We start from the raw sequence: 21349 nt of genomic DNA, 5'->3' as shown, positions 1-21349 counted from the left end.
TGTTTTGATTAGCCCTATAACTTATATTCCACTAGTGGAAGCTCTTCCTGGAATCCATAAATCCTCTTTCTCAATTTTCCTTTTTGTGAAGTAGGAATTAGATCAGAAAGATTAGCATGTTTTTTGGAACATCAGGAAATTGGCTTAGAGGTCCTTACTATTACAGTCTTAGTCCTTTATGTGGTGGTAGCGATAGGGTATGATAGAGCCTATTTTAATTTAGTAATCCTTATTTTGGGATTTTGGGTTGTTCTCACCTTGATTTTTGTCACTGAAGGAGTCAGGTTATATCCACGGTCCCCTGAAGGGTACTTGTTTCAATTTGTTAGTAGTCAGTTCTTTCTTCTGGGACTCTGCTATGTATGTCACAGTTAAGTATACTCTCAAACTAATGCTTAAACAGAAAATAGAGGATCAGCTCATTAGGCTTTGAGTTTAGTTATCCACTTGACTCAGGTGCTAATAAATCCTTTACGTCTAAAATGTTCAGTATTGCAAAGGGCATATTTTTTTTGTTTGTTTTTTGAAACGGATCACTCTGTCACCCAGGCTGGAGTGCAGTGGCGCCATGTTGGCTCACTGCAACCTCCACCTTGCGGGTTCAAGTGATTCTCCTGCCTCCCCCTCCCAAGTAGCTGAGACTACAGGCGAGTGCCACCACACCCAGCTAATTTTTTGTATTTTTAGTAGAGATGGGGTTTCACCGTGTTAGCCAGGATGGTCTCGATCTCCTGACCTCGTGATCCACCCGCCTCAGCCTCCCAAAGTGCTGGGATTACAGGCGTGATCCACCGGCACCCAGCTGCAAAGGGCAAATTTTAAACAACCATATCTTCTATGGTAAGATTGAGTTTTAGGCCAGATTTTGGATTTCAGTCATAAATTCTCAACCCTCTAAAACTTTATAGTAGCAGATTATTCAAGTGAGAAGGACACTGATAACAACTCAAGGTAATTTTGCTTTTTCCATTAAAAAGAATGAGTACACCAAGTTCTTTCAGATTAGAAATGGCGGGAGCATCAGTTTTATCAGTTTCACTGCAAATTTTGTAAAAGTTTTATAATGTTTTCATAGGTTGTAATTCAGAAGTACAATGTTTTATAGGTTGTAATTCAGAAATACAAGTACATAAGAACCATCTGTTAGAGGATATGCCACTGAAAGGGACAACCGACTAATTTAAAAATTATCTATTGGGTGATATGATTAACAATATTTCAAAGAATTTTTTTAAGTGTTTGGTTCTTATTAACGGACTGGTATTTCATTTCTGACCAGTATCATGTAAAAGCTTCCCTAAAATTTTTATTCTGGTTTACACGGATTAGCATAAAGATAGAGCAAAAATTTCATCTTTGAAGGAGATCTGGTTAGATCCATGGATATCTGAATGGCATTGATTTATAAACCAACATTATTACTTGTGCGTTAATAATGAAATCTAAAACTTAGTATAAGTTCTTAAATGAAATTCATTTGACTTTCTGATATGAGTGACTCTTAAGGTTAGAAACATATGAATTTAGAAAAATGAAACCAAATGTTTTCAACAAAGTAATTTATTTTTTTCCTGAGACTAAATTCAGTACAGTATTTGTTTTTATAACATCCAACATGTCTTATGTTAAACTTAACCACTTTCTATGCAGTGACTGTGGTGAGATGATCTATTTTATTTGACTACCCTCAATGTAATTCATTTGGGTAGTTCTAAGGCATATCAGTGATCAAAATGTTTCTCCCTACAGTTACTCTTGCATTCTCAATCAGTTTCTTCTGCACATCATCTAAAGAAAATTTATGTGGTATGATTACACTCTTTTTTTTTTTAATACCAGAATTTCTAAAACTAAGAAAAACACTAACATTTAAAACATCAGTGTTTCTAGTCAAGGATATTTCAATTAAATTTCATCAGTACATTATAGTTTAACTCATGCTAGAAATGTTAAAACCCAAGATCTTCTGAGTCACATAATACCAACATTTCATATTAACGAATAAATTACTCAAGTTCTATACAAAGATACTAAGTGATGAGAAACAGAAAAAGTTAAGCTTTCAATAGTTTTAAAAAAATACAGAAGCAAACTAATGAACACAACTACGCAAAATATAGGCTAACCAATTGCAAGCTAAACTAGTTAGAGATTAACCTTTAAAAAATACATTTTAGAACTTAGAAGCAAACTAATGAACACAACTACACAAAATATACACTAACCAATTGCAAGCTAAACTAGTTAGAGATTAACCTTTAAAAAAATACATTTTAGAACTTCGTGACACCCTCATAAAAGGCAGCAAACTAAGGGTATTAAAACAGTAGTCATTATTTCAGTTACTGTGCATCAAGTCTAAAAGATCCAGATAAAGGGAATGTTTTGTGATTCAATTTAAATAACTTTAAAATTGGAAACATTTAACAATTGATAATATAATTAAAATTTAAAGAATATACACAAATGATCTGAATAGGTTTTATATTCAGTAACTTGCATGGTTTTTACACTGACACTTTTATCATTAATTTAGGAGAATCAGATGCATTTCCCTCCATATACCTAGGCATTAAGATTCCAAATTTATAAATATGGTAGTATAGTATTTTAAATATTAAGTTTGTACATGAATATTGGGTTTATCCGTATTTTCCTTTGTTTCCCAGGTATTATCCAGTTTTGTAAGGAAAACACTTTGATATCACAATCAAAACTTGTCTTGGTTACTAGGCTGTAGCCGTAATTGGGTTACAGTCACTTAGATTCATTATTTGGAATTATACTTAACTAAGACAAACCTAAATGAAATTTATCTCCTAGAAGAATTTCACATTTGCATTTACCTGCATGGCAGAATGAGTTTAAGCACATTTTAGCTGTTAGGAAATATTTAATTTACTTAAACTTGTTATCTGACTACTCAGAACTCTGAGTAGTCAACTGTACCTTTGCGTTTACTTAAAACTATATCGGATTCACTTCAAATAGAAGATTTTTAAATAGAAGTTAGACTTCATTAAGGTACTGGTATTAACTTTAAATCTGAAAGAAAACATACTGAAAGTTTGACAAGTTCATTAAAACATTTTTAGCATGTCTTGGTATATTTATCAGCTTTTTATTCTTCTTTCTGCTGGCATTTCCTTAATGTTTGTTTGTTTCACCTCTCTGGTTCATTGGATTGCTACTATTTATGCTTTCATGGACTTTATCTTCACAGTTTACTGTATCTTGTAAAGGCTTTACCACATCAGCTGTACTGGCTGTTTTTGGCAAGGTCATCTGCAGTGCACACCACAGGGCAGTGCGTGTTTTCCGAGTAGCCACACACATCTCTTTAATTGCAGAAGCAAGGGCAAAAACATCTGTAAAATAAACATTCAGGGTCATTTCATATTAAATGCCATTTAAATATCTGTTAAATCTTACAAAACCCAGTGCTTTTGCTACTAAATGATCAAATGTTATTTTTGTAAAAAAAGGATAGTTATTGATTGAACCAAAGTCCTGTCCTTTATCATTAAAATATTTAAAAGTATTGATACTTTATTTCTGACTTGTACAATAGTGACTATAGTTTGAGTAGAACACAGACTGTCTTGAAACAGTTATAACAGACAAAATTAATAAAATGGAAATACTTTTGGAGTAAATAATGTGGAGATTATTTACCAATTTATTCTGTAGGTAAGTGTTAATTTTAGAAATCTAATCTTTCAACCTCAGAATCTGATTTTATCAATACCTAAATTATCACACTGACTTATCACAAGAATATGCATTAATATTTGTACCTCTGTCATCTTGGCATCTAGGAACTCCTTGCCTTTGCCGATTGGAAGCATTAACAATTTCATCCTTTCTACGTGACTGTACAATGTGAATAGACTCCAAGTGTCTATCAAGAGCAGTAGAGATACTGGCATGAAGAAGAGAACTCCGAAGACGTTCCATTTTGCCTAGTAAAGTCACAACCTGAGGGAAGCATTTTAAATTTTGATAAGACATGTCCTGCCATTAACTTAAGTAAAAACAAATCTTCAGTGAAGCAGAATAGAGATGACAGCAATAATATTCATTCAATAAATCAAAGAATGCTTACTGTGTCCTGACACCATGCTGGGGGAAACAAAAATGGAAAGTGTTTTCTATCTACTTGTCTATGTTAATTCTAAAAATATGTGGTAGTTGATTACTGAAAATAAGCATCAATGAAAATGTTAAATATTCAAACATTACCATGTCATTAACTGCAAATACAAGATCTGATACTGTTTTTGACAAATAAGAGACCAGCCTGCAAACAGCATTGTTAGGAAGTATTGTAATCTAATGGAAAAAGTTTTGAGCTAAAAAGAGAAGTACTTGACTGATTAATCCTGACCTCAACAAGTCTTTAATTTTTCTGGGCCTCCAATGTTCCCTTTTTGGAAATCAGAAATATTCAGATAGTAATACTGACTAGTGATAGCTTTAAGGAATCCATAATACAGAAAATACTGATTTAAATTTACATTAAAACAATACAAAATGACTCCTGTAACTGTCAAAACTGCTAAAGAAAATTAGGATGCTTCTCAATCCTCTGGATGATGAAACTTAAAAAAGGGCACTGATATATTAGGTCAGTAGGGGGAGTATGTTTCATATGCCTAACTTGTTTCAAATTCTAAACTTGGAAAGTATATGGAAAGAGAACTTTTTGAATAATTGCAATTTGAAGATCAAGTAAATACAGTAATTGTCTTTGGGAATTAAATGATTTAACAATTGATAGCAGAACTTGGTGTTCACTGATTGGAGAATATAGGGGGAAAAAGCTTCTCAAGAAACCAATGGCACTGGAATTAATGTTTCTCTAACCTCAAACTCGTATTAAGTTTCTTCATAATAAGTCTATTCCGTATGTTAAATATTTTCCTCTCAACTGTGTATCAGCCAGATCCTTCAGGGGAAAACAAAACACACACAAAAAAACCTCCAGGGAACTACTAATTATTTTTAAATAAGACAATAATTTTGAGCAAATGATAAAGAGTAAAGAAATGTGCAAATTGGGGCTGGGCACTGTAGCTCACACCTGTAATCCCAGCACTTTGGGGAGGCCGAGGCGGGCGGATCATTTGAGATCAGGAGTTCGAGACCAGCCTGACCAACATGGTGAAACCCTGTCTCTACTAAAAATACAAAAAATTAGTCGGGTGTGGTGGTACACACCTGTAATCTCAGCTATTCAGGAGGCTGAGGCAGGAAAATCGCTTGAACCCGCGAGGCAGAGGTTGCAGTGAGCCAAGATCTTGTCAGAGTGAGACTCCATCTCAAAAAAAGAGAAAAGTCTGCACAGGTGATTTTTAAATAAAGTTTAAAAAATATTTTTTTTTCAAAATTCTACAAAGCTAGCAAACTAGAAAATAGTAATTTTTTTTTTTTCTTTTGAGACGGAGTCTTGCTCTGTCGCCCAGGCTGGAGTGCAGTGGCGCGATCTCGGCTCACTGCAAGCTCCGTCTGCCAGGTTCACACCATTCTCCTGCCTCAGCCTCCCGAGTAGCTGGGACTACAGGCGCCTGCCACCATGCTCGGCTAATTTTTTATATTTTTAGTAGAGACCGGGTTTCACCGTGTTAGCCAGGATGGTCTTGATCTCCTGACCTTGTGATCCGCCCACCTTGGCCTCCCAAAGTGCTGGGATTACAGGCATGAACCACCACGCCCGGCGAAAATGTAATTTTAAAATCCTCTGTTAATGAAATAATGTTGCTAAGTATAGATAAAATGAATTTTTTTTTTTTTTTTGAGACAGGGTCCCACTCTGTCCCAGGCTGGCATGCAGTGGTATCATCTCAGCTCACTGCAACCTCTGCCTCCCAGGCTCAAGTGATCCTCCCACCTAAGCCTTCCGAGTAGCTGGGACTATAGGCACATGCCACCATGCCCAGCTAATTTTTGTAAAGAAAATAAAATTATTATAACAGGCATAAACATATCCTTCTAAATTAATGTGAAGCATAAGCAAAGCTGGGAAAAGTATATCACTATCCACAGTATGTCATCCTTCATTTCCTAGAAATGTATTACTGAGATAAAGAAATTTTAATTTGGAAGTTTTTTTTTTTTTTAAATAATAAAAGATTGAAGTTTTTATTAACATCTGGCTGTACCTCATATGTTAGGCTCTGAATGTACCATGGATAAATTCCATTGTACAGATTTACAAATTTGACCCATGTTGATTTTTCTAATTCCTAAAATGGTTTTATTCAATAAAAGAGGTAATCCGTTTTGCTGCATTTTTTTTTCCCAGGAAGAATCTTTATCAAATTTTATTTGGAAAACTAAGTTTTTAAGAGAGGAAGGTCAAAAAAGGAAAAGTTTACCTACCCTAAGTTGCTTAGAAAATTCTGAAATTATAAAGAATAGGAATAATCATTAAATTACAAAATGACTTAACGAGGATTCTTTACAACATTTGACTTGAAGTCATATCCTACTTCGCCAAAACAAAAGTATTTTGTTGACTGGTGGTGGCTCACACCCAGCACTTTGGTAGGCTGAGGCAGGTGGATTGCTTGAGCTCAGGAGTTTGAGACCAACCTGTGCAACATGGCGAAACCCTGTCTCTATAAAAAATACAAAAATTAGATATGTGTGGTAGCGTGCATCTGTAGTCCCAGCTATTTGGGGGCTTAGGCAGGAGGATCTCTTGAACCCAGAAGGTCAAGGCTACAGTGAGCATAGATCATGCCACTGCACTCTAGCCTGGGTGACAAAGTGAGACCCGCCTCAAAAAAAAAAAAAAAAAAAAGGAAAGATAGTAATTCCCTATTAAGTTACCATCTTATGTAAGCACAGCTTGCTCATCAAGCTGGAAAACAAATGTGACAAAGAAATGAGACTTTCTCCATAAATAATACTCAAAATGATTTTTGCTTTTTAAAAAATTCTTTCAGTTGAGGATTAGCTCCACTGCCAATTTGAGCTTCAAGAGGAACCATTTAAATTACGAAAATTACTTTTAAAATGATTGAGTGGGACTATTTTCCCGTTCCTTTTTCTTTTTTTTTCTTTTTTTTTTTTTTTTGAGACAAGATCTTGCTCTGTTCCCCAGGTTGGAATGCAATGGTGTGGTTATGGCTCACTGTAGCCCTGACATCCCAGGCTCAAGCTATCTTCCCACCTCAGCCTCCTGAGTAGCATAAGCATGTGACACCATGTCCAGCTAATTTTTAATTTTTAGTAGAGACAGGATCTCCCTATGTTGCCCAGGATGGTCTCAAACTCCTGGGCTCAAGTGATTCTCCCACCTCCACTTCCCAAAGTGCTGGTATTACAGGTGTGAGCCACTGCACCCAGCCCCTTTCCTAAATATTATAGTTCTAGGACCAAACATGAAAAAAATATATTTCAGAGAGTTAGATGTAAATGTGATTTAAAAACCCTTCAAAGCTCTAAAACTTGATGAGAGTTTTATTTATTTATTTATTGAGATAGAGTCTCGCTCTGTCACTCAGGCTGGAGTGCAGTGGCGTGATCTTCACTCACTGCAACCTCTGCCTCCTGGGTTTAAATGATTCTCCTGCCTCAGCCTCCCAAGTAGCTGGGACTACAGGCGCATGCCACCACCCCCAGCTAATTTTTGTATTTTTAGTAGAGACGGGGTTTCACCATAATGGCCAGGCTGGTCTCGAACTCCTGACTTCAGGTGATCTGCCCGCCTCGGCCTCCCAAAGTGGTGGGATTACAGGAGTGAGCCACCACGCCTGGCCTGAAACTTAAAAAAAATTTAACAAAAAATCCATCCACTGTTATCTATTTTTACAGCTTACTCTGGCTAGTTCTCGAAGTTCATCCACAATTAAGCGATCAACTCTAGATGGGTTGGAAGTCAGCCTTGGAACTGGAGTGTTGTTAGTACTGGATACTTTTTTTCCAGGATAATTCTTGGCAAGGGCTAATTCAGTCTGTAAAAAATTACATACTTTTTAGATGTAGAATTTTCTAAATATGATTCGACCATGAATAATAGTTTTCGTAAGCCTAATAAATAGAGTATTACCACTTTAAATGAAAATTCTGTTTTGGTATCAAAAGACAACAAATGTAAACCACAATACCACAGTATTTTTCTATCTTTTTTTTTTCAGATGGAGTCTCACTCTATTGCCCAGGCTGGAGTGCAGTGGTGCAGTCTCGGCTCACTGTAACCTCCGTTTCCCGGGTTCAAGCGATTCTCCTGCCTCAGCCTCCCGCGTAGCTGGGATTACAGGTGCCTGCCACCACGCCTGGCTAATTTTTTGTATTTTTAGTAGAGACTGGGTTTCACCATGTTGGCCAGGCTGGTCTCCAACTCCTGACCTTGTGATCTGCCCACCTTGGCCTCCCAAAGTGCTGGGATTACAGGCGTGAGCCACCGCGCCCAGCTATCGTCTTAATACAAATAAAATACCTGAGTATACCAACAGGTTAACACTACAAAATTCAAAGAAATAAACTTGTAACAACTAAGGGGGTAAAAAATCTACTTCAGGGCAAGTCAACTTAGAATAACAATAACTTTAAAATGTCAAGCATTTTTCATCTTCATTTATTTAAGCTTCCCATTGGCCAACCCCATCCATTTTTAGTTTTTAAGTAACCCACTTAATTCCTTACAGTAATGAACTTACAGCAAATCCTGGACATTATAGAATTCAGCTCAGAAATAAGGCAAGTTAGCCGGGTGCAGTGGCTCACATCTGTAATGCCAACACTTGGGACATCAAGGTGGGAGGATGGCTTGAGGCCAGGGGTTTGAGACCACCGTGGGGAACATAGTGAAACCTAATGTCTACAAAAAATTAAAATTAGCCAGGCATGGTGGCATGTGCCTGTAGTACTAGCTACTCAGGAGGAGGAAGGATTGCTTGAGCCCAGGAGTTTGGTTACAGTAAACTATGATTCTGCCACTGTACTCCAGCCTGGGCAACAGAGCGAGACTCTGTCTCTTTAAAACAACAACAAATAAAGCAAAAAGAAATAAGGCAAGTACTCTTACACTACACTAAGGTAAACAGAATGAAGACAGGCAAAAGGAACATACTGTTATTCCTAAGTGGTTAACTTTGTGTTACCTTTTTTCTCTCTTTTTCTAATGCTCTCCATTGTTCACAGCACTCTTCTAGACGAATATGAAGTTCACTGGCTGGTCCACTACGGGTTTTAATTGGTCTTTGAAATCCAAAAGTTGGCATGAGACCAGAAAAAGAATTATCACCATACATCATATTAAAATAAGGGTACAAATGGCTTAAGTCATCATAAGAAAGTAAGTCATAGGAATCCAACAGTGGAACAACTGAATGGCCAAATGGGTGGGTGGATCTTAGGGGAAACCCATTTGAACCAAGTTGTTGAAAACACTGATTATGCCTTAAATCTCCCATCATATAATTATTAGAAAAGCATGACACTTGTGTGCGATTCACACGGCTATTGTCTCCACCTCTCGTTCTGTGGCTATTAGAATGACCCTGTGACTCCAGTAGATCTTGGTATGTATTTTGTGATAAGCCATCTAAATGCTTTGGACCTTCCTCAGGATCATAATGTCCACTCTGGGGCTTGGCTTGAAAATTATGTTTGTTTACATTTTCAATTATCCCATACTTCTGAGCTGAATAGTTATCACAAAATCCATTTGGCTGCTTTATTTTTTTATCCGTAACCAATTTGAAGAGATTTTCTTCTCCAGGCTTTGTTAGTCCTTCTATGTGATTGACAGATTGGATTCTTTCTGCACCACTGTAACTAAAATCAAAACTAGAAAATGCTGAAGGGTTTTCTTGGCAATATTTCTGAAATAAATTGCTATTTGGGGTTAAGTTTGTGGATGATAGTTGGGGGAAATCTGAAGAATGGTTAGAACCTTTTGAAGCTGCACTTAAATGACTATTTAATTTCATCAAGTTACCTTGATTTCGATAAGGAATAGGAGTGTTATTTTTTGTTTGAACATTCATCCAAGTTGGTCTGTTTAAATTGATACCTCCTGAAGATGTTGCTGAGTTTGATAATAAATTCACTGATTTAAAATACTCAGAATGTGGGGGATCAGGTTTAGCAAACTGTTGCTTTTCTGTGACGTTAGCAAAATCATTAGCGGGACAAGCTGTGTGAGGTTTTAGTCCATATTCTGATGTTAAGCCAAAATCAGCAGTGAATACTGCTTCCTTTGCAAACTGTTTCTCTGTCAGATGTGGCGTAGTTTTTGGAAATGTGAAATTCTGCTGATCAGGGATTGTCTCCTCCATTTTTTTCTGATTCGCTGGCTTAACCTGAAATAACTTTGTGTAGGTGTCTGCTTCTACAGTTGGTGTTTCAGGTGTGCCATTGGCTAATTTTTTGCTATCTTGGACACTAAAATTTGAACATTTATTAAGCTTAGCCTTATTAGGATGAACATACTCTGGGTATCTACAATAATCTACATTTTCATTGTATCTATTAAATTGAGAAAGAAACATCTCTGCCCTTTTTTGCTGTAGTGGTGCTTCAAGACCTTTAGTACATATTCTGTCTCTTCCATAATGGTAGATATCAACTCCTGATTCTTTCATGATATCAGACAGACCAGTTTGGGGTGTAAAACAGTTTTTGATAAGTGGATATTCTTGGAATGTTGTCTTAGCTGTATCATTTGTCTGAATATTGTGACAGTTAGAATGATCACTTCGTGAGGGGTACATCCATTGTTCTTCAAGATCTAAACCAGTAAATCCATGATGAAGTTCATCTATTTTTTGTTGTGGTGTGAGATTACTGTTACGCAGGTATTGCTTTTCCATTGCTGACACAGATTCATCACTATAAAAAGCTTGCTGAGAGATGACTGTATCTATTGGCCTTTTGGTTTCTGTTAAGAGGTCATGGTGATCTGCAAATCTGCTTGTGTTCATTGGCCAAACTGACTTTAAATTGGAGGAGCAGGTCCTAGAACAAATAAATATATTTAATTACAACTTAGGTTTTAAAGACTTTATTTCTTCAGTGGAAAAGGGAGAAAAGGTCTTCAAAAACATTTATCTTGCCCCATGTCACCATTCTCTAATCCCTTTCAACTCTGCTTTATAAGCTACCATTAGCTCCAGATAATTATCTGTCACATGAAATGTGCTGTATGTTACATAAATATGCATTTTAATGTCTTCGCTGTACTTTCCCAAGAGACAATAACTAAGGCCTAATATGTGACTTCATGGTCTTAGATGAATTATTTATCTATAGTAAGCAGAAAATAAGTTTTTCCTTTGCTTAGGTTATTACATAAAAGCATTGTTGACCACAGTTTTTTTTAATGAAAAAAATGTGTTTTGCTTAAACTTTGTGAAATTAAAATATTTTAATTGGTTATATGTGTGCTACATACTTCCCTATTTATGAAATAGTATATTTGGGTAATATAGCTTCCACACTTCAATAAAACAATTGAAACATTACAAAATTTTCTAACACATGAATAAAATCCATATGTATTTCTGCATAGTAGTAATGAGTTTTATTCTTTGGGATCTATGTATAAAAGTTCCTTTGAATTTATATTATTTAAGCCAATCTTTAGTTCATGAACTCAAGGGAAATAGCTCTGAATTATGCAAGAATAATTTTTCAATGAAAGTCCTTATACAAAACCTTAGACTGAACTTCCAATTATATAGCAAATACTTCAGCAAAATCAAGTCTCCTTGAAACAATATTTGAATTAAGATACCTACTGTCAGATGATCCACTATTAAGTAAAAATAAAAGTTAATAAACAGGGTAAACTAGTGTATGTTAGTTTAAAAGCCTGTTATATACTATATAGATTATATACTAACCCTTCAGCAAAATATGGCTGTGACTTATCTTGTTCTTCCAAAATGTTAGACACAAGTCCATATAAGTCTGTTTCACTGCCATAGTCATTTCTTTCTGTTTGAATCCTAAAAATAAATGAATTCGTGCTGAAATACAATATATTGATTACTCTTTCCAGACTTATCCTACCTTACCATCTTTATCTATAAAATATGTGGACTGAATCTACACCATCATTTCAAATAAAGAAGAGACTAGAACTCAAGAATATTTTCTTTTCTACATAAATATTTTTATGTGGAAATGTCTTTTCCACATAAATATTTCTCCTTCATTTCAAATCCTATATCTAACTTACAGTGCATGCTTACCTCTTATTTCTCCACAACACATGGTTTTCATTTTAGGTGACCAAGATATAAATCTGTCATCTATGATGTCACAGACATGCTTGGTATCATAGCTGCTCCTGAAAGCAAGTCTTGTCTTATTATACATTATTCCATCAACACCTGCTCAGCTTCCTCATTTGCAATTTGAAAACCATATGAACCTGATGCTCTATTCTATTTTTGTGACTCTATATTAATATTGGATAAAAAAGTGAAATGCGATATGGTCATCCTAGACACCACAGCAATTTTGCAGTTGTCGCTTAAATGTAACAGATTTGGGAGCCATCCCTAATGCTTGCAAAGCATGACTGGATGGAGTTCCTTTTATCCCAGAAATCCACCTAGTGACTGATACTGACTAAATACAAAATGTAAAAACCACAAGCACGTGGAAGATTGGTACCTTTTACCTGTTACAGTTTTTGGGTAATTTCTTCCTTGAAGTAATACAGGTTGAGTATTCCTTATCCAAAATGCTTGGGATCAGAGGTGTTTTGGATTTCAGGTTTTTTTCTTGGATTCTGGAAATATACATTATACTCCAAATATATAATGTATACTTGTATATTTGGTTGAACGTCCCTAATCCAAAATCTGAAATGCTCCAATGAGCATTTGTTTTGAGCATCATGTCAGCACTCAAAAAGTTTTGGATTTTGGATCAGTCTGGATTTCGGATTTTCAGATTGGGATGCTCAACCTGTACATCTATTTGTTGGTTTGTTTGTTTATTTATTTATTTATTTATTTTTGAGATGGAGTCTCGCTCTGTTCCCCAGGCTGCAGTGCAATGGCGCGATCTCTGCTCACTGCAACCTTCGCCTCCCAGGTTCAAGCGGTTCTCCTGCCTCAGCCTCCCAAGTAGCTGGGACTACAGGCGCGTGCCACCACGCCTGGCTAATTTTTTTTTGTATTTTCAGCCTGACCATGTTGGTCAGGCTGGTCTCGAACTCCTGACCTTGTGATCTGCCCACCTCAGCTTCCCAAAGTGCTGGGATTACAGGCGTGAGCCACCAATCCCGGCCCTGTACATTGTTTTATAATAAATTGTAACTTCCGGTTTTTTCATATTTCAACATTTCATAGTGTTGGGATATTTTTGAAATAAAATACCTTATATTTGCATAACACTCATATTTAATTGATCTTCATAACATTGGAAAGGTAAGCATTAGTAATCATTCGTTATTATCTGTTGAATAAATGAATGATCATTTGAGATATTAAGAAACTTGTATTTTGCAAGGGTATATGACTTGCCAAACTACTACATACTTGCTAAATAGTCTCCCTGTAAGTCCAATACCTTTTCTACTACATGTGTTATCTCATAAAAGTTCAATATAAAAGCTTTTTTGTGTAATTATGTATTAGTATATATCTAAAAAAAATTCAATGTAATATATACCAAACTGCTAGCAGCTGTTATTGGGTGGCGGGGGGAGAAGGTTAAGACAGACTTTCACTTTTCTTGATATATATTTCTGAAAAGTTTGAATTTTTTCACTTGATCTTAGCCAAAAGCGAGAATAGGCTTGAATTTTTTCAATAGCATGTATCAACTTTAAAAATATTTTTGTTTTTTGTAGAATTATGTATTACGTAGACTTTCTAATAAAATTATTTTAGAGAATTTGCCAAGAATTTTAATTTTTTAACACTTTTCTAATAAATACAAATAACTATTTCCTGGTTAGACTAATGAGGCATCAGCCTCTATAAATAGCTCCCATATATAATTAAAGATAGATGTCACTCCCTTAGGGCTCCTCTTTGCAATAGGCTCCCATAATATCCTAGTTATCGTCATCATCATCATCATCATCATCATCATCATCATCATCAAGATTATAAAGGCAAGGATAATATTTGCCATGTTTAAATTCTGGTATCCCCCATAGAAAAGCATCTGATGTACAGGGGGCCCTTATTATTTGTGGAATTGAACAGAAAAATAATTTAAAATATCTTATGTTTGATAAAACCCTGTTTGTTGTAGAGTTGTGAAGGAAAAAAATGGAAAATTTAGAACTGGATGACAAAAACATCTAAAAGTTTTAACTCATTCATATAAGTCATCTTTAGAAAGAAGAACTTAAGATTTATGCACTAAATGTTCCCACTAATGAATTTTTTTAAGTAATAACCTAGCTGGGCAGAGGCTCATGTCTGTAATTCCAGCACTTTGGGAGGCCAAGGTGGGAGGATGGTTTGAGGCCAGGAGTTCAAGACCAGCCTAGGCAACAAAGTGAGACCTCGTTTCTTAAAAAGAAAAGGCAACAAATTTTTTTAAAGTTAGCTGACCACCGTGGTGCATACCTGTAGTCCCAGCTACTGTGGAGGCTGAGGCAGGAGTATGGCTTGAGCCCAGGAGTTCAAAGTTGTAGTGAGCCATGATCTCGCCACTGCACTCCAGACTGGGTGACAGAGCGAGACCCTGTCTCAACAAAACAAAACAAAGCAAAACACCGTAAAAACTATACACAAATAACTGCCCAGTTTACACTTTCCTAAAAGTTTGAAAAACACAAAATGCCACAATAGTAAAATGATAATGTAGGGAACAGAGAGCAAATAACCTCAGTTCCTATGTAATTAAATTTAAAAATACCTCAATTACCTTGAGAAATGAATTAATTTACCTGTTCTTTATACTGATCTGAGAATTAGAAGGTTGTTTAATGTCATCTCCATAAGTAGACCATGGTGCACAGAAAAGTGAAGAATCTACAGAACTTGAATATTCTGTTGAAGAAAATGGAGTATAGGTCTGCCTTAGGTCTACATTGTCTTCACTCTGAAAGTTTTAAGAAATGTTTATCAGACACATCAAAACTTCATTTGTTGTAGAATATGAGAAAAATAAGAAAGCGGAAATAACACAGATGTAAGAGTTGGGAGAATTACATTCAAATGCAGACTTAGTGACTTAAGCTTGCTTTATACCAGGGATTGGCAAACTTGTTCTGCAAAAGGCCAAATAGTAAATATTTTAGGCTTAGCTGGCCATTAAGGTTGCTGTCAAAACTCTTCAACTCTAATGCTGCAGCACTAAATCAACCATAGACAATAAACAAATGGGTTTGGCTGCATTGCAATAAAACTTTATTTACAAAACAGGTATCGGGCAGCTCTGGCTCCTTGTTGCTGGTCTGTGGTATAAAATACCTATAATTATTGTAGTTTTTTTGTAATTTTTTGAATAGATAAGCATTATGTGGATACTAGCAATGTTATTTTTAATACATTATATATAAAATTCAGTCTTGGGGCCAGGCGCGGTGGCTCAAGCCTGTAATCCCAGCACTTTGGGAGGCCGAGGTGGGCGGATCACGAGGTCAGGAGATGAGACCATCCTGGCTAAACCCTGTCTCTACTAAAAATACAAAAAATTAGCCAGCTGTGGTGGTGATGGGCGCCTGTAGTCCCAGCTACTTGGGAGGCTGAGGCAGGAGAATGGCATGAACCCGGGAGGCGGAGCTTGCAGTGAGCCAAGATAGCACCACTGTACTCCATCCTGGGCGACAGAGCGAGACTCTGTCTCAAAAATAAATAAATAAATTTCAGTCTTAATGTCCCCAATCTCTGAAAAAAGTTAATGTATATTTATATGGAATTTTACACTATTCAAATAAATTTCACATATATTATCATATCCAGTAAACCTTGTGACATGAGTATTATCTCTACTTTAAAAACAAGGAAACTGAGGCTGCAAGTCACTCAGCCAATATGTAACAAATCTAAAACCAAAACTGAAGGTCTTTTTCCTCCTATTTGAGGACATTTTATACAGTATCTTTTTTTTTTTTTTTTTTTTTTTTTGAGACAAGAGTCTGGCTCTGTTGCCCAGACTGGAGTAGAGTGGCGAGATCTCGGCTCACTGCAACCTCTGCCTCCCGGGTTGAAGCGATTCTCCTGCCTTAGCCTCCCAAGTAACTGGGATTACAGGCACCTGCCACCATGCCTGGCTAATTTTTGTATTTTCAGTAGAGAGTTTTAGGGTTTCACCATGTTGGTCAGGCTGGTCTCAAATCCTGACCTCAAGTGATCTGCCCGCCTTGGGCCTTCCAAAGTGTTGGGATTACAGGCGTGAGCCATTGCACCCAGCCTCGGTGAATGCTTCTGTAATGAACCTGAGTAAACAAAAACTTTGGGTGTTAAGTTTCTTTTTTTTTTTTTAAATAGAAATGGGGTCTCACTGTGTTGCCCAGGCTGGTCTTAAACTCCTGGCCTCAAGCGATCCTCCTGCCTTGGCCTCCCAAAGTGCTGGGATTACAGGTGTGAGTCACTTTGCCGGGCCTTGGGTTTTAAGATTTTAATGATTTAAACCCTGCCTCCTTCCAAAAGGGACCATGTAGGGAAAGTGAATTTAACAAACAAAAAAAGATTAAGCTAATTTATACATTGTTTATTCTAGAAAATGCTTCCTTAAAGAAGACTGAAAGTATAAATTCAAAATTTTTAACTCTCCAGATAAGTAACTATTAAAACCTGAGATGCAATAACTATAAATACCCAGACATAAACACAATGAAAATAGTATTTTCTTATAAATACAGAAGAGATGTAATTCTGGCCGGGCGCAGTGGCTCACACCTGTAATCCCAGCACTTTTGGGAGGCCTAGGTGGGCGGATCACCTGAGGTCAGGAGTTTAACTCCTGATCAACATGGCGAAAGCCCGTTTCGACAAAAATACAAAAATTAGCCAGGTGTGGTGGCAGGTGCCTGCAATCCCAGCTACTCAAGAGGCTGAGGCAGGAGAGTCACTTGAACCCAGAAGGCGGAGGTTGCAGTGAGCCAAGATTGAGCTATTGCACTCCAGCCTGGGCAACAGAGGGAGACTCCATCTCAAAATAAATAAATAAATAAATAAAATAAAATAAAATAAAAAAGGAAAAGATATAATTCTGGCTAAAAGTATTTTCTAATTGCTTTTATTCTGTTAATATTTCTAAATTTTTGTTCCTAATAGATATGATCACTGAAAAACATTTAAACTATACAACGTTATATGATACCAACAAAATGTGAACATTAAGAAATACCTTCCAATCATCCATCTTCAAGAATCTCAAAATATTTTACAACCATTTGTTTAAGTTCTGGTTATGATTCTATTTAAAACCCACACATTATAATTTTTCTGTTTATAGTTTATATTATGACTATTCTCAAGTTGAGGAAATGGAAACACAGAAGGGATTTTGCTGAGAGCTAAAACTAAAAACTACCTTTCCAGAATTTGTTGGTTAGCAGCAACTTTTACAAAGGCTTTTTATCTTTCTTTCCTAATTTTATCCTTTGAGTTCTAAAGTTATCATCATAGGCCCACTCTTATGTGTGAAGTATCCAAAGTGACATAAATAATTGTTCATCTTTTTGAAATAGTTGCTTAAACAAAAGGAACATTTTCAGATTATGTAATGTCAAATGAATAAACAGTATTGGAAATTGAAAATATTTTGGGAGTATTCTTTCAAGTACATTTTACATTTTAAAATACATTTTGAATATTACAAATAAAATCCTTTTAAAGGACTGACTTAACTTTTGTATTCTTGGGTTAAAACAACTAAAGTAATGTGGTGGATTCAAACAATCATACTTGAAATATCTGCATCCCTTTCGTTAACAGAGGCCAGGAAATATGCAAATATTTGAGTGGGCATATTAACTGGATTAACTTTAAAATGTATCACTTATATCCTTAACATACTTAAAACAGTGAACTGAAATTAAATCCAAATAAATTTTAGTCCGGATGTAAACACTGCAGAGAGCAGTGGAACTATGGTCTGGGTTCCACTTGAGCTTTGTCATTTAGGGCACAAATCAAGCTCTCTGAGGCTCAGTTTCTCAATCTGTACAGTGGCATAATAATATACAAGATTCTTAGTGTGGATTAAATAAAATAATTTATTTCTAGATATTGTTATAATTCAAAGTACAACAATATCAACATTGATGTCCTGGTTAAATAATTTCAAATGAAAATTACTTACATTACCCAAGCTTTATTTCCTTTGATTAATAAATCTAAATGTCTTGGTGAGGTAAGTGGTAGCATATAATTTAAGACATTGTTAAAACCAGAAAATAAAGGAGTAAAGTGAAATTTTCACCTTTAAATTATCAAAAATATGTTTGTACCAACTTGCAATAAATGCCTGAACGAAAAAAAACATATTTTAATCTTACTAAATAATGGATTTTCTTACATTTCTGGAATTATGTTATGCTAAGGACAAGATGGAAACGAATCAATGAAAAATCTTATTCTTCAATTTGTTTTCTTTTTTCTTTTTTTTTTTTTTTTGAGAGGGAGTCTCACTCTGTCACCCAGGCTGGAGTGCAGTGGCATGATCTTGGCTCACTGCAACCTCCACCTCCCTGGTTTAAGATTCTCCTGCCTCAGTCTCCCAAGTAGCTGGGATTACAGGTGCCTGCCCCCACACCCGGCTGATTTTTGTATTTTTAGTAGAGATGGGGTTTCGCCATGTTGGCCAGGCTGGTCTTGAACTCCCGAACTCAGGTGATCCACCCGCCTCAGCCCCCCAGAGTGCTGGGATTACAGGCACGAGCCATGGCGCCCGGCCCTTAACTTATTTTCAAAGCAAAGTATGTATTCTGCAAACACTGTATTTAAAAGATTGTAGCCGGGCGCGGTGGCTCACGCCTGTAATCCCAGCACTTTGGGAGGCTGAGGCGAGCGGATCACGAGGTCAGGAGATCGAGACCATACTGGCTAACACAGTGAAACCCCGTATCTACTAAAAATACAAAAAAATTAGCCGGGCGTGGTGGCGGGTGCCTGTAGTCCCAGCTACTCGGGAGGCTGAGGCAGGAGAATGGCGTGAACCTGGGAGGTGGAGCTTGCAGTGAGCGGAGATTGCGTCACTGCACTCCAGCCTGGGCGACAGAGCAAGACTCCGTCTCAAAAAAAAAAAAAAAAAATTGTTCCTGGGCTGGGCGCTGTGGCCTGAAATCCTAGCACTTTGGGAGGCCGAGGCGGGAGGATGGCTGGAGCCCAGAAGTTCGAGACCAGCCTGGGGAACATGGTGAAACCCGGTCTCTAAAAACAATACAAAAATTAGCCGGGCATGATGGCAGGTGCCTGTAATCCCAGCTACTGGGGAGGCTGAGACGGAAGAACTGCTTGAACCAGGGAGACAGAGGTTGCAGTGATCCGAGATCGCACCACTGCACTCCAGCCTGGGCAACAGAAGGAGACTCCGTCTCAAAAAACAAAACAAAACGGCTGGACGCGGTGGCTCATGCCTGTAATCCCAGCACTTTGGGAGGCCGAGGTGCGCGGATCACCCGAGGTTGGGAGTTCGAGACCAGCCTGACCAACATGGAGAAACCCTGTCTCTACTAAAAATACAAAATTAGCCAGGCGTGGTGGCGCATGCCTGTAATCCCAGCTACTCCGGAGGCTGAGGCAGGAGAATAACTTGAGCCCCGGAGGCAGAGGTTGAGGTGAGCCGAGATCGCACCACTGCACTCCAGCCTGGGCAACAAGAGCAAAACTCCATCTCAAAAACAAAAAACAAAAACAAAACAAACAAAAAAAACAGCCGGGCGTGGTGGCGCGTGCCTCAGGAAGCTGAGGCACAAGAATCGCCTGAGCCCGGCTGGCGGAGGTTGCAGTGAGCCGAGATGGCGCCACTGCACTCCAGCCTAGGAGACAGAGCAAGACTCTGTCTCAAAAAAAAAAAAAAAAAAAAAAAGTTTTCCCTGGTTTTCTCTTCCTTAACTGTGGAGCCATTAAACACCTATGAATCGGTGGCTCGAGTAAATCCATTTGAGAATAAATCGTCTAACAGAGGCAGAGTTTACTAAAGGACCTGCGATGTGTAGCAATCGTAGAAGGAAGCGGAGCCAGTCAACATCACGCTGCCGAAGACGTCGGTTAACCTGCTGCCGGCGTCGGCGCCGAGGTTCCAACAGCGATTCGCACCTCCGGGGAACGCGACTTTGGGCTGCAGCACACGGGAATAGGAAATATCAGAAAGTGGTCACGAGGGTGACGCCGGAGCTGAAACGGCCCGACACCTGTTCTACCTCGGCTGTTCGGCTCAATTCCGAACCCTCTCAGAGGACACGAATGTGGGGGCCCGCGCTTCCAGCCTCGGGATTCTCACTCTCCCCTCGGGCCCCCTGAGTGCTGACCCCGAGGGGCGCCCCTCCCCGGCCACCGCCTCAGCGCGACGGCTGCCTCCCGGGAATCGCGGCGACCCGCGCTCCGTCCGGCCCGTCCAGTCAGCCCGCGCCGCGCCCCCCGCCCGCCCGCCCCGTTCGGCCTCCCCACCGACGACCCGCCTCTGCCGCCCCGTCTAGGGACGCGCCCCCTCCTCAGCCTCTCCTCCTCGTCGCCTCTTGCAAGTCTGGCCGCCCCCTGGACCCTGCCCTTCCTCATCCATTACCTCAAGTCCTTCCTCCCTCAGGCCTGAGGGGTGAGGGCGCGGGCAGGTGTCTCCGCGTCTCACCTCCATGGGGCGCCCCCCAGCCTCTCCTGGACTAGGCACAGCTCCTGGGGTACGGGGGTGATGGGGGGGGCGTCCAGGCCCGGCTCCCTCAGCCCGCACCCCGCCGTCTCCGCAGCCGCCTCCGCCGCCCGGGCGCTGCCTGGAGCCAGTGTGCGGGTAAGGGAAGTCCGAGCGGGGAGGGAGGGGCGGGGGCAGAGGCCGTTACCTGGCCTGCCTGGGGCTCGCGGCTCGGCACGCGACACGGCACAGGCGCGCCCCGCCCCGCTGTGAGGCCCGCCCCTCCCGTTTCGCAGCCCGCCATTGGTCCGATGCCCATCCAATGGGCGACCACTCCAGGCTCCGTTACCCCCCAGAGACAAGGAGAGGAAGGGGCGGTTAGCGGACCACGCTCTCTCGCCGCTTCTGAGCTTTTCCCGCTCAAAGTAAATGTGTTCGGGATTGGCCCGGACTGGCAGGCACCGGCCCGATGATTTGCTGATAGGGCAGCGGAGAGGCCGGTCGTGGAAGGTTGAAAGAGCTAAAGAGCGCAGCCCTACCGGGTGGGAGAGGTGTTGGAGGCACTTGGAAGATTTGAGAAGTCGCTCAGCAACTGGCTTATCCTCCAAAACCTAGCTGTTGCGCACAT

The 21349-nt window shown here is 38.9% G+C and overlaps 1 protein-coding gene across 3 annotated transcripts, besides 1 other annotated feature; it reads right to left on the bottom strand.

Annotated features, from left to right (window-relative positions):
• Window positions 1-256: 256 nt before the first annotated feature.
• On the bottom strand, window positions 257-20876 carry MEIOC (meiosis specific with coiled-coil domain). Of its 3 annotated transcripts, XM_005257236.4 has the most exons (9): window positions 20662-20876; window positions 20083-20217; window positions 14873-15027; window positions 11856-11960; window positions 9111-10968; window positions 7827-7961; window positions 3798-3978; window positions 3250-3368; window positions 257-394 (listed from the first exon to the last, which is right to left on the bottom strand). In XM_005257236.4, the coding sequence occupies exons 1-9, from the start codon at window positions 20728-20730 to the stop codon at window positions 389-391; spliced, it is 2763 nt and encodes a 920-aa protein (XP_005257293.1). In that variant the 5' UTR covers window positions 20731-20876; the 3' UTR covers window positions 257-388. The 3 variants fall into 3 exon arrangements, with proteins under 3 accessions (XP_005257293.1, NP_001138552.2, XP_047291758.1); NM_001145080.3 differs by lacking the exon at window positions 257-394 and having other exon boundaries at window positions 1543-3368; XM_047435802.1 differs by lacking the exons at window positions 257-394; window positions 3250-3368; window positions 3798-3978 and having other exon boundaries at window positions 7931-7963; window positions 9112-10968.
• Window positions 20863-21072: a silencer, noted in NCBI's record as "silent region_8599". NCBI's record gives its function as "represses an Ori minimal core promoter by ATAC-STARR-seq in GM12878 lymphoblastoid cells {active_cell/tissue: GM12878}" and the evidence as "EXISTENCE:reporter gene assay evidence [ECO:0000049][PMID:35858748]".

Source organism: Homo sapiens, chromosome 17 (genome assembly GCF_000001405.40).
Source record: "Homo sapiens chromosome 17, GRCh38.p14 Primary Assembly".
Classification (NCBI taxonomy): domain Eukaryota; kingdom Metazoa; phylum Chordata; class Mammalia; order Primates; family Hominidae; genus Homo; species Homo sapiens.
Note: the sequence above shows the minus strand (reverse complement) of the source record. Positions and strands in the feature narration are given on the sequence as shown.

Bases quoted from the DNA above. Each gene is read 5' to 3' on its own strand.
- MEIOC (NM_001145080.3), bottom strand. From the start codon at position 20,730: ATGGAGGTGAGACGCGGAGACACCTGCCCGCGCCCTCACCCCTCAGGC. The intron at 11,961-14,872 runs GTAAATTAATTC...ATTTATTTTTAG, and splicing joins CAGATCAGTATAAAGAACAG to GATTCAAACAGAAAGAAATG. The intron at 7,962-9,110 runs GTAACACAAAGT...AATTTTTTACAG, and splicing joins TAGAAAAAGAGAGAAAAAAG to ACTGAATTAGCCCTTGCCAA.